Raw genomic sequence first — 12,473 nt, 5'->3', positions numbered from 1 at the left:
TTTTCCCAAACATTATATAAACATGTGATTTGGCCAGGTGTGGTGGCTCATGCCTGTAATCCCAGCACTTTGGGAGGCCGAGGTGGGTGGATCACCTGAGGTCAGGAGTTCGAGAGCAGACTGGCCAATATGGCAAAACCCTGTCTCTACTATAAATACAAAAACTAGCCGGGTGTGGTGGTGGGTGCTTGTAGTCCCAGCTACTCGGGAGGCTGAGGCAGGAGAATTGCTTGAACCTGGGAGGCGGAGGTTGCAGTGATCCGAGATCATGCCACTGCACTCTTGCCTGGGTGACAGAGTGAGACTCTGTCTCAAAAAAAAAAAAAAGGTGCGATTCTTCATTAAAAAAAATGAACCAGAAATATAGTTTTGTGGCGTTCCTCCTAGTTGCAGTGGTAATACTTTAAAGTTTTGAACAGTTTTTCTTTTGTGAAAGCATCAATTTCATTCAATCCATCAGTCCATGTGCTGGGTGTCATGGGGCTAGAAACAAAACTAGTTCTTATTTTGAGGGAAGGGCAGAATTTGAGCCTTGGGTTCCTTGCTTTGTATATATAGCAATTAACACAACCTGGATTTTCTTTTCTTTCTTTCTTTTTTTTTTTTTTTGAGACATAGCCTCAACCTATTGCCCAGGCTGGAGTGTAGTTGCACGATCTCGGCTCGCTGCAACCTCCATCTCCTGGGTTCAAGTGATTCTCCTCCATCAGCCTCCCGAGTAGCTGGGATTATAGGTGTGTGGCAACACGCCCGGCTAATTTTTGTATTTTTAGTAGAGACAGGGTTTCACCATGTTGCCAGGCTAGTCTGGAACTCCTGACCTCGGGTGATCCACCCGCCTCAGCCTCCCAAAGTGCTGAGATTACAGGTGCGAGCCACCTCGCCTGGCCTTTTTTTCTCTTTTCTTTTCTTTTTGAGACAGTCTCACTCTGTTGCCGAGGCTGGAGTGCAGTGGCACATGATCTTGGCTCACTGTAACCTCCACTTCCTGGTTTCAAGCGATTCTCCTGCCTCAGCCTCCTGAGTAGCTGGGATTACAGGTGTGTGCCACCATGCCCGGCTATTTTTTTGTATTTTTAGTAGAGATGGGATTTCACCATTTTGGTCAGGCTGGTCTTGAACTCCTGACCTCAAGTGATCTACCTGCCTCGACCTCCCAAAGTGCTGGGATTACAGGCGTGAGCCATCACACTTGGCTTCTTTTTCTTTTTTTGTTTTTTGTTTTTTGTTTTTTTGAGACAGGGTCTTGCTCTGTCAGGGTGGAGTGCAGTGGCATGAACATGGCTTGCTGTAGTCTCAATCTCCTGGGCTCAAGTGATCCCAGCCTGGATTTTCTAAGGCTGTCTGAGGTTCAATGAAAAATTTCACTGATACGTTTGCTAAATTTTATGTTTCTTTCCATGTATTTGCTCAATAAACATGATTTGTTAAACATCAAACTAAATAAGACTGGGCATGGTGGCTCACACCTGTAGTCCCAGCACTTTGGGAAGCCTAGGTGGGTAGATCACTTGAGTTCAGGAGTTCGAGACCAGTCTGGCCAACGTGGCAAAACCCATCTCTACTCAAATACAAAAATTAGCCAGATGTGGTGGCACACACCTGTAATCCCAGCTACTTGAGTGTCTGAGGCTGGAGAATTGCTTGAACTCGGGAGGCAGAGGTTGCAGTGAGTGGAGACCATGCCACTACACTCCATCCTAGGCAACAGAGTGAGACTCTGTTTCAAACAAAAAACATAAAAAACATCAAACTAAATGCAATTTTATTTGGACACATTTATCAAACTTTTATTTTCTTTTTTAGAGAAAGGGTCTCATTCTGTCGCACAGCCTGGAGTTCAGTGGCACAATCATAGCTCACTTTAACCTTGAACTCCTGGGCCCAGGTGATCCTCCTGCCTCAGCCTCCAAAAGTGATGGGATTATGGGTGTAGGCCACTGTGCCTAGCCCTTATCAAACTTTTAGTATTAATTCATCAATTGAAAAAAATCTATTAGAGTATATGATTTGATTTTTTATTTGGATATAATAGTTTGAGGACTTGCTTATATTTTTCAAAAATATTTATTGGACAGCCATTATGTGCCAGAAACTGTGGGGAGCAAAATAAATATAGTCTCTGCCCACTTGTGGCAGGAAGCCTAGCTGGGAACCCTCACATGAAATAAATAGTCACACAAATGACTATGTAATTGTGAGTTGTGATATGAACTGTGAAAGAATAGTACAGAGTTCTTTGTGAAAGTTTACTGAGGGAATTGATTTATACAATGGGGGTCATGGAAGATCTTTGAGCCAGTGACATTTAAGCTTCGACCTGAAAGCCAAAAAAGTGGAAAAATGGACGAGCCAGAAAAAGCAACATGTGCAAAAGCCCTAAGACAGTTCAGAAAGTGAAGCATGTGCAGTACAGTTTAGTAAAAAGGAGGCAGAGTGCAGGGAGAGCCCCAGGTGGCAGGATATCAGAAGGATCAATACAGAAATTCCCGAGAAAAGTCCAGCATAGGAAAACAATATGGAAAAACAAAAAACAACAATGCTCAAAATTTACAATGTTCTCACATATGTTGCCTCAGTTAATCCCTAGGAGAAGTGTGTGCCGCAGGGAGGACAAGGATAATTATGGTTATTCCTACCATTGAGGATTAAAGTTTAGTTTGGGACAAAGTCATGCAGCTTTTGGTTCCATGGTTCATATCACAAGGCAAACTCTGTGGGTTCTCTGGGAAGTTGGAAGGGAGTGAATGTATTGAAGCAGAAATGACCGACTCCAGCCTGGCCAACAGGGTGAAACCCCATCTCTACAAAAAGTACAAAAATTTGCCCTGTGTGTTGGTATGCTGCAATATTGTACTGTGCTCCAGCATGGGAGACAGAGGGAGACCTTATCTCAAAAAAAAAAAAAAAAGAAAGAAATAAAGGAAGAAAGAAATGACCTATGGCTAGGGCTATGCTGAGTATCTGAAGAAAGAAGGCTTTGAACTATACGTTTAAAAGCAAGTACTTCTAGGTTGCCACTCCCTGCCTGCACTTGAGGGATTTATCTCTGGGTCAAGACAGAGAACGAGTCTTGCATTAAATTACATTAAATTAAATGAATTAATTTATGGCTGGGTGCAGTGCCTCATGCCTGTAATCCCAGCACTTTGGGAGGCTGACATAGGAGGATTGCTTGAGCTCAGGGGTTCGAGACCAGCCTGGGCAACATGGTGAAACCCTGTCTCAACAGAAAAAAAAAATTAAAAAAATTGTAAAAAAAAATTATTTATTTTCAACTTTTATTTTAAATTTAGGGGGTACATGAGTTGGTTTGTTATCTGGGTATATTGTGTGATGCTGAGATATAGGGTACGGAGTCTTGCATTTTAGAAAGTGATGAGTCACTTTCAAAGTTGACAGTTCTATAATTCCCTGATTTACATATCAGGACAAAATTTGAGCATAGGCTGGTGATTTCTGACTTGAACCTAAAGGTCTGTGGAATCGGAAGGGTTCATCAAAATGAGAAACTACAACTCCCGGCAGGCCTCGGGGCTGGGTCTTCTTCCCCGCCCCTCCCTCTTTTTCCGCCAGGGCTGGGAACGACCAATGACGGTTAGTCATTTGAATAGACCAATAATATATTAAACGGTTCAGGTTGAGGAGGGGCGGTCGAGTCATCCAATCGCACGGAAGAGGTGAAAACATATTAGCCAATCCAAATATGTGGGGGCGGGACGTAAGGTGGGGCGGTGAAAGAAGTTTGCTGACGAAGATGGCGACTGAGGCACAGAGTGAAGGGGAGGTGCCAGCCCGCGAATCCGGCCGGAGGTGAGCTGAGTTTGGTCCAGTTTCCTGGGAAACGCGGCCTTGGGCTGGTAGTCCTGCCGCCTTTGCCTTGGGTCACGGAGGCGCACGGTTCGGGCTTTGTTTCTTTCTCCCACGGCGTTTCTCATCGTCGCGCCTGCGGGGGCTGAGGCGCGGGGGTCGGGCCTGGGCGCTGGACTCCAGCCAAACCCCCCGCTCGGTCCTGCCGGTGCCCGAGGGGGCTCCTCCCGCTGCGCTGGCTGCAGACGTCCAGCTGGGGGTGGCAGCGCTGATCGCTTTGGCGCCGAGACACCTCTTGATGGCGAGGAAACGGAAGTCCAGGGCTGGTTAGCGAATTCCTCACTGTTGCACACAGCGCTTCACATCTTCTCCGAGGCACTTTGTGCGTTCAGGTCCGAGCAAGGATTTGAGTGTCAATTAGAAACAGTGTTGAGTCCTTGGGCCAGTTTTTAAACCTCTCTCGACTTCAGTTTCTTCATCTGCAAAGGGACGTGAGGATGCCTATTTCCAAGTGTCAAGATTGAATAAGACAATCCATTTAAAGCTAGCACTGAGTTTAGCCGATAATGACAACTCTACGCAATAGATTTTCTTCTTCCTAGTAGAACAGCTAAGGAGCAGATGGGAGAGGGATCTGTAGTCCAGGACATCATGACTTTATTTCCACAGGATGTTCTTTCCTAAACAGCCACACCGAGATTTAGCGTTTTCAGGAGAGAATTTCGAGGTGGTGTTGCCTTAGCCTTGAGACCTAAGTTGTCTTAATTGATTACAATTTTGTTTTTGGTGTAATTCAATAGATTGAGTTTATTTACGTTGCCTCAGTGTAACTCAGTAAAATACTTCGGTTTGGCGTCTTTTGGTTCCATTTGTACCGAATAAGAGATTCCAAGAATCTTGGGAAACTAATAACTTTGTGACTCGGCTTCTTCCTGAGCCCAGATGAGCGTGGTTGAGTGTGTTATTTAAAATATCATACGGGGCCGGGCATGGTGGCTTACGCCTGTAATCCCAGCACTTTGGGAAGCCGAGGGGAGCGGATCACCTGAGATCAGGAGTTCGAGACCAGCCTGGCGAACATGATGAAAGCCCGTCTCTACTAAAAATACAATAATTAGCCGGGTGTGGTGGCGGGCGCCTGTAGTCCCAGCTACTCAGGAGGTTGAGGCGGAGGTTGCAGTGAGCCCAGATGCGCCATTGCATTCCACCCTGGGTGACAGAGCAAGACTATGTCTCAAATAAATAAATAAAATAAAATATGATATGGAAGAGTTTTCCACTCTTTTTTGTTTTGTTTTGTTTTTGTTTTGCAGTTGCAAGATTTCATAGAGTGAAATAGAGTGAAAACACAGCTCCCACACAAAGGGAGGGGACCCAAAGTGGGTGGCCGTTGCTGGCTCTAATGCCTGGGTTTATATCCTGATCCTTGTCCCTCCCGCTGTGCTCTCAGGCAAGAGATGATTGGCTATTTCTTTACCTCCTGTTTTTGCCTAATTAGCATTTTAGTGAGCTCTCTGATTGGTTGGGTGTGAGCTAAGTTGCAAGCCCCGTGTTTAAAGGTGGATGCGGTCACATTCCCAGCTAGGCTCAGGGATTCTTAGTTGGCCTAGGAAATCCAGCTAGTCCTGTCTCTCAGTCCCCCTTCTCAACAGGAAAACCCAAGTGCTGTTGGGGAGATTGGCCGATGACCGCCCTAACTGCTTCCTGCTGAATTGGGGCGTAGTAGGGGTTGTGCAGTTGAGATTTCCTCGGGAGGGTTGCCTTCGATGTCATTAACATCGGAGCATGGGCTAGCAGGCTGTTCCAGGGGTCCGCGGTGGATCTTAGTCATAGACTGCATCTGGGGCTCCATTTGAAGAATGATTTGTAGTTTTACAGTTTCAATTCTGGAAGAGACAAACGCTTTGGATGCCCCTTCGTGGTCACCAAAATGTTACCGGGGGTCCTTGCTCACAGAGCTCCCAAGATGGTGGCCAGCCGCTTCTAAGATGATGGCGGGCCGCTTCCAGGATGGTGGCAAGCCTAGTGTTCTCTGACCTGGGGTTCTCAGCCTCACCGATTCCAAGGAATGGAATCTTGGGCCATGGGGTGAGTGTTACAGCTCTATTAGAAGCTGTGGGTCACGGAAGAGAACCGTGGAACCCAGTGACTGGTGTTCAACTTGATTAGGACGAACCCAGGCACTTAGCCATGCAGGAACAATGGCAAGCCTTTAGCACGATCGGGAGTGGCAATGGGAGTCTCACTGGATCAGGAGCACAGCAGACACCCTGCCAGATCCGGAGGGATGGGAGTCAGCAGCGGGATGGGAGTCAGCGGCGGGTCTGCGACAGCGGCAAACAGCAGTGGTAGAGGGCGAGCAAAAGCTCAGCTCCAGCCATAACAAACATAGACCAGAAGAGTGCAGTTGCAAGATTTAATAGAGTGAAATAGAGTGAAAACAGAGTTCCCATACAAAGGGAGGGGACCCAAAGGGGGTTGCCCGAGTTTTCCACTCTTGAAGCTGCCTATAAATGGTTGATCATTTTTTTTTTTTGCCCGGGAACTGTAGAGGTGATTGATACATTTGATTAGATCATCCTTCATCCAGTTCTTTAAAAATTTCTAAATTTTGGTGAAAATCTGAGGACAAATAAAATACTATTCCATAGCAAGAGTAGTTTGAATTTATTTTCTTTTCTTTTCTTTTTCTTTTCTTTCTTTCTTTCTTTTTTTTTTTTTTAACACAGGGCTCCTTCTGTTGCCCAGGCTGGAGTGCAGTGATACGATCACAGGTCCCTGCAGCCTCAACCTCCTGGGCTCAACTGGTCCTCCCTCCTCAGCCTCCTGAGTAGTTGGGACTACAGGCACGTGCCACTATGCCCAGCTAGTGTTTTTGTTGTTGTTGTTGTTTTGTTTTTTTGTAGAAACCGGGGTCTTGCCATGTTGCCCAGGGTGGTCTTGAGTTCCTGGCATAAGTGATCCTCCTGCCTTGGGCTCCCAAAGTGCTGGGATTATAGGTGTCAGCCACTGCGCCTGGCCTGAATTTCTTTATAGTATATTGCCAGTTGAATTTAAATTTTCAGTGAGAGTATTAGTTAATTACATGATCAGTAGGTATTCACATAATCGTACCTGAACCTGAAACCATTTCATCAATTCCATATTGTAAAAGAGAAGTGGGCCAGGTGCGATGGCTCACACCTGTAATCCTAGCACTTTGAGGCTGAGGCGGGTGCATCACCTGAGCTCAGGAGTTCCAGATCAGCCTGGGGAACACAGTGAAACCCCATCTCAATGAAAAATACACAAAATTAGCAGAGCGTGGTGGCGTGTGCCTGTAATCCCACCTACTTGGGAGGCTGAGACAGGAGAATCGCTTGAACCTAGGAGGTGGAGGTTGCAGTGAGCTGAGATAGCGCCATTGCCCTCCAGCCTGGGCGACAGAGCGAGACTACGTTTCGAAAAAAAAAAAAAAAAGCCGGGCACGGTGGCTCACGCCTGTGATCCCAGCACCTTGGGAGGCTGAGGCAGGTGGATCATGAGGTCAGGAGATCGAGACCATCCTGGCTAACACAGTGAAACCCTGTCTCTACTAAAAATACAAAAAAAAGTTAACCAGGCATGGTGGCATGCACCTGTAGTCCCAGCTACTCGGGAGGCTGAGGCAGGAGAATCGCTTGAATCCGGGAGGCAGAGGTTGCAGTGAGCTGAGATCACACCAGTGCACTCCAGCCTGGGCAACAGAGTGAGACTCCAGCTCAAAAAAAAAAAAAAAAAAAAAAAGGAGAGAAGTTTGGGGTTTCTGTAAGGCATTTTGAGGGCGGGATACACATATGTATTTATCACATATTCCCAGTGCTTTGTGTAGGTGGTCAATAATTAGTGAATAGTAGTCTGTCATTTCTAAGAGAAATATTTTCTCGTGGTGATAAATACTTTACAGATTCTTTCTTGCTCTTGCTCTGCAGGGATTAATCTTTTTTTTTTGTTGTTCTTTTTTTCTTTTTTTTTTTTAGATGGAGTCTTGCTCTGTCACCAGGCTGGAGTGTAGTGGCACGATCTCAGCTCACTGCAACCTCTGCCCCCCCGAGTTCAAGCGATTCTCCTGCCTTAGCCTCCCAAGTAGCTGGGACTACAGGCGTGTGCCAGCACGCTCAACTAATTTCTGTATTTTTAGTAGAGACGGGGTTTCACCATCTTGGCCAGGATGTTCTCCATCTCTTGACCTCATGATCCACCTGCCTCAGCCTCCCAAAGTGCTGGAATTACAGGTGTGAGCCACCACTCCCGGCTGCAGGGATTAATCTTTCTAACGTTCTGTTGATAGTGTGGCCTCTTGTATTCCATAAAGAAGAGGAAAAATGGTCTGATTTGCACAGATGAATACATATGTAAATATTGAATGCAGAATATGTGATCATTTAGAACTGCCCAGCTTTTTGTTTTTTCATCATTATTTTAACACTGCTCCTAATAATTACAAATGCTTTAACTTCTTTTAATAAAATATTTATTTATTTATTTATTTTTGAGACAGAGTTTCGCTCTTGTTGCCCCGGCTGGAATGCAATGGCACGATCTTGGCTCACCGCAACCTCCACCTCCTGGGTTCAAAAGATTCTCCTGCCTCAGCATCCCGAGTAGCTGGGATTACAGGCATGTGCCACCAAGCCCGGCTAATTTTGTATTTTTAGTAGAGACAGTGTTTCTCCGTGTTGGTCAGGCTGGTCTTGAACTCCCGACCTCAGGTGATCTGCCTGCCTTGGCCTCCCAAAGTGCTGGGATTACAGGCGTGAGCCACCGCACCCAGCCAAAATATTTATTTTAAAAAACTTATTATGATTTTTTTTGAGACAGGATCTCACTTTGTGGTCCAGGCTGGAGTGTAGTGGCATGATGATGGCTTACTATAGCCATGACCTTCTGGGCTCAAGCAATCCTTCCACCTTAGCCTCTCAAGTAGCTGGGACTACAGGCATGCGCCACCACACTCGGCTAATTTTTAAAATTTATTCTAGAGACTGAGTCTCCCTATATTGCCCAGGTGGGCCTCAAACTCCTGGGCTCAAGCATTCCTCTTGCCTTGGCCTCCCAAAGTGTTGGGAATATAGGTGTGAGCCACTGCACCTGGCCAAAGATTTAAACAAGGAAAAATTGCTCTGCCTATAAAGATTCCCATGTTATGTTTTTGACCTGTTGATGAGGAACACCCCCTCCCTTCCATTTCTGGTTTTTATTAAGTAGAATGGTCCTTTAAAATTTAACACATTTCATTTCTTATACCTTCAAGTTACTCTTAAGCAGACAATACTAAAGGGGAATCACAAATAGAAAATATCCACTGCCAGGCATGGTGGCTCACGCCTGTAATCCCAGTATTTTGGGAGGGGGAGGCAGAGACAGGAAGATCACCTGAGGCCAGGAGTTTGAGACTAGCCTGGGCAATATAGGGAGATCCTATAAAAAAAATAAAAACACATAGCCAGGTGTGGTGATGCACGCCTGTGGTCCCAGCTACTTGGGAGGCTAAGGTGGGAGGATCACTTGAGCTCGGGAGGTGGAGGCTGCAAACAGCCATCATCCTGCCATTGCACTCTAGCCTGGGTGATAGAGTGAGACCCTGTACAAACAACAACAACAACAAAAACAAAAAAAACTATCCACTTTATCAATAATAGTATAAACATAATACAGACCTTTAAGGGTCAAAGAGAAAAGGCGAAAGCAGGAAATGAAATAAAGCTACTTCTCCTCATAATTGGCAGTAGGGAAATACGCACAGCTTAGTATTTTTTAATTAAAAAGAGACTTAAAAAGAAAGTGCTAACTATTATTACATGAAGAGCCAGCTTAGGAACAGACAGTAGAATGCCTGGAAATGTTTCTGGAGGACAGGGGAGGTGTCTGAAGATGTGGAAAGGGTTCTATGTCTTGTTAATTTACATATACCTTAGGTATGGAATATTGGTTAGTAAACATGACTTCTGAGCCTTGGTTTTTTGACACGGAGTCTCGCTCTGTGGCACAGGCTGGAGTGCAGTGGCGCAATCGTGCCTCACTGCAACCTCCGCCTTCTGGGTTTAAACAATTCTCCTGCCTTAGCCTCCTCAGTAGCTGGGACTACAGCCATGTGCCACCACGTCCAGCTAATTTTTGTATTTTTAGTAGAGATGGGGTTTCATCATGTTGGCCAGGCTGGTCTTAAACCCCTGACCTCAGGTGATCCACCCACCTTGGCCTCCCAAAGTGTTGGGATTACAGGTGTGAGCCACCGTGCCTGGCCTGAGCCTTTTGGTTAAATTGCTTTTTCTGTAATAAGACAGTAATGTGTTCCTTCGAGAAAAATGGTTTAAAAGGTTTAAACCTTTATTGATCCCAGGAAGACTTGTCTGTTCTTACATGCACAGTTAAGTGAGAAAACCTGAATCTAGTTTTGTATTTGTGCTGTTAAATTCTATCTGAAGGGTAATGAGGAGTAGATTTCTTCAGGGGATTTTCTTGAATCTGGTTTTATTTTACATTTTATCAATGATCAGGTTTAGAGAGTTTGATCATATTTGTAAATAAGGCCTGTCTTGGAAGGAGGGGAAGGAAGAAAACAGAATTTTAAAATTAATCTGCATAAACTGGTAAGTGGCATGAAACCACAGCATAAAGCAAAGCAGATATTGTTGCACAAGTTTACTTTGGTCAGAACAATTGGGTCGGTAGTGTTATAAAGAGTGATATAGGAAATCTGTAAACTTTTTGCTGTAAACATTACATTTGGCTTAGGCCAAGCATGGTGGCTCACGCCTGTAATCGCAGCACTTTGGGAGGCCGAGGCGGGCAGATCACTTGAGGTCAGGAGTTCGAGACTAGCCTGGCCAACATGGTGAAACCCTGTCTCTACTAAAAATATAAAATTAGCTGGGTGTGTGGCGGTTGCCTATAATCCCAGCTACTAGGGAGGCTGAGGCAGGATAATTGCTTGAACCTGGGAGCTGGAGGTTGCAGTGAGCCGAGATTGTGCCACTATACTCCAGCCTGGGCAACAGAGGGAGAGACTCTGTCTCAAAAAAAAAAAAAAAAAAGCAAAAAAAAAAAGAGAAAATTATCTAGGTATGGTGGCACATACCCGCAGTCCCAGCTACTTGGGAGGCTGAAGCAGGAGGATCACTTGAGCTCAAGAGTTTGAGGCTGCAATAAGCTAGAATGCCGCCACTACACTCTGGCCTGGGTGACTGAGACCCTGTTGTTAAAAAAAATAAATAAAAATAAATTTGTTTTAAAAAATTGTATTAAAAAACATAACAGTTTATCATCTTACCTATTAAGTGTGTAGTTAATTAATGTTAACTACATTCGCATTGTTCTGTGTCCAGCCATTTTTTATATGGAACATCTACAACCTACAAATCCATTGAAGCTTTAAGAGTATATACTTTCGGCCTTGCACAGTGTCTCATGCCTGTAATCCCAGCACTTTGGGAGGCGGAGGCGGGCGGATCACCTGAGGTCAGGAGTTTAAGACCAGCCTGGCCAGCATGGTGAAACCCCGTCTCTACTAAAAATACAAAAAATTAGCTGGGTGCAGTGGCATGCACCTGTAATCGCAGCTACTTGGGAGGCTGAGGTAGGAGAATCGCTTGAACCTGGGAGGCGGAGGTTGTGGTGAGCTAAGATCACACCATTGCACTCCAGCCTGGGCGACACAGCGAGACTCAGTCTCACAGGAAAAAAAAAAAAAAAAAAAAAGTATATGCTTTTTTTTCTTTCTTTCTTTTTTGTTAAGAGTATATAGTTTGGCTAAAAGTGGTGGCTCTCATCTGTAATCCTACCACTTTGGGAGGCTGAGGTGGTAGGATCACTTGAGCCCAGGAGTTTGAGACCAGCCTGGGCAACCTAGCAAGACATTGTCTCTACTAAAAATAAAAATAGTTAGCCAGGCGTGGTGGCACATGCCTCTGGTCTCAGCTGCTAGGAAGGCCGAGGCAGGAGGATTGCTTGAGCCTGGGAGGTCAAGGATGCACTGAACCGTGAGTATGCCACCATTCTAGCATGGGCAATAGAACAAGACCTTGCCTCAAAAAACCCCCAGTATATACTTTTTTCCCCTCTTCCCCACTATGAAATAAACTTATATAATATTTACTACAGAAGGCTAGAAAAATATGTAGAAAAAAATGGGGGCTGGTCTGAGTGTCTCACGCCTATAATCCCAGCACTTTGGGAGGCCAAGGTGGGCAGAACACTTGAGGTCAGTAGTTCGAGACCAGCCTGGCCAACATGGTGAAACCCTGTCTCTACTAAAAAGACAAAAATTAGCTGGGCATGGTGTCGCACATCTGTAATCCCAGCTACTTAAGAGGCTGAGGCAAGAGAATCGCTTGAACCTGGGAGGCAGAAGTTGCAGTGAGCCAAGATTGCACCACTGTACTCCAGCTTGGGCAACAGAGTGAGACAATGTCTCAAAAACAAAAAGCAAAAAATACAAATAAAAATAAGAGAAAAAAGCTAGGTGTGGTGGTGTGCACCTGTAGTCCCAGCTACTGGGGAGGATGAGGTGGGAAGATTGCTTGAACCTAGGAGCTTAAGGCTGCAGTGAGCTATGATGACACCACTGTGCTCCAGCCTGGGTGCCAGAGTGAGACCCTGTCTCTAAAAAAAAGAAAAAAAAAGGAAAGAAAAATATGTAGAAA

General features: G+C 45.3%; 1 protein-coding gene and 1 long non-coding RNA gene across 3 annotated transcripts in view, besides 4 other annotated features; both read left to right on the top strand.

Moving 5' to 3' along the window:
- Positions 3,421-4,177: an enhancer, noted in NCBI's record as "H3K27ac hESC enhancer chr10:99051965-99052721 (GRCh37/hg19 assembly coordinates)". NCBI's record gives its function as "activates a minimal SCP1, AML or CMV promoter by ChIP-STARR-seq in primed H9 embryonic stem cells {active_cell/tissue: H9 hESC(primed)}" and the evidence as "EXISTENCE:reporter gene assay evidence [ECO:0000049][PMID:30033119]".
- Positions 3,712-12,473, top strand: part of ARHGAP19-SLIT1 (ARHGAP19-SLIT1 readthrough (NMD candidate)) — a 139,632-nt gene continuing 130,870 nt past the window's right edge. Inside the window, exon 1 of the long non-coding RNA NR_037909.1 lies at positions 3,712-3,813. This is a non-coding gene — a long non-coding RNA (ARHGAP19-SLIT1 readthrough (NMD candidate)). The remainder of the gene's footprint in view (positions 3,814-12,473) is intronic.
- The window catches only part of ARHGAP19 (Rho GTPase activating protein 19), a 70,459-nt gene continuing 61,733 nt past the window's right edge, over positions 3,748-12,473 (top strand). For both annotated transcript variants that reach the window (NM_001204300.2, NM_032900.6), the window contains exon 1: positions 3,748-3,813. In NM_001204300.2, coding sequence (NP_001191229.1) covers positions 3,758-3,813 — 56 coding nt within the window. In that variant the 5' untranslated portion in view covers positions 3,748-3,757. The remainder of the gene's footprint in view (positions 3,814-12,473) is intronic.
- Positions 4,027-4,076: a silencer, noted in NCBI's record as "silent region_2669". NCBI's record gives its function as "represses an Ori minimal core promoter by ATAC-STARR-seq in GM12878 lymphoblastoid cells {active_cell/tissue: GM12878}" and the evidence as "EXISTENCE:reporter gene assay evidence [ECO:0000049][PMID:35858748]".
- Positions 4,178-4,936: an enhancer, noted in NCBI's record as "H3K27ac hESC enhancer chr10:99051206-99051964 (GRCh37/hg19 assembly coordinates)". NCBI's record gives its function as "activates a minimal SCP1, AML or CMV promoter by ChIP-STARR-seq in primed H9 embryonic stem cells {active_cell/tissue: H9 hESC(primed)}" and the evidence as "EXISTENCE:reporter gene assay evidence [ECO:0000049][PMID:30033119]".
- Positions 5,695-6,453: an enhancer, noted in NCBI's record as "H3K27ac-H3K4me1 hESC enhancer chr10:99049689-99050447 (GRCh37/hg19 assembly coordinates)". NCBI's record gives its function as "activates a minimal SCP1, AML or CMV promoter by ChIP-STARR-seq in naive H9 embryonic stem cells {active_cell/tissue: H9 hESC(naive)}" and the evidence as "EXISTENCE:reporter gene assay evidence [ECO:0000049][PMID:30033119]".

Source organism: Homo sapiens, chromosome 10 (genome assembly GCF_000001405.40).
Source record: "Homo sapiens chromosome 10, GRCh38.p14 Primary Assembly".
NCBI lineage: Eukaryota > Metazoa > Chordata > Mammalia > Primates > Hominidae > Homo > Homo sapiens.
This window is presented reverse-complemented; position numbering and strand designations above follow the sequence as displayed.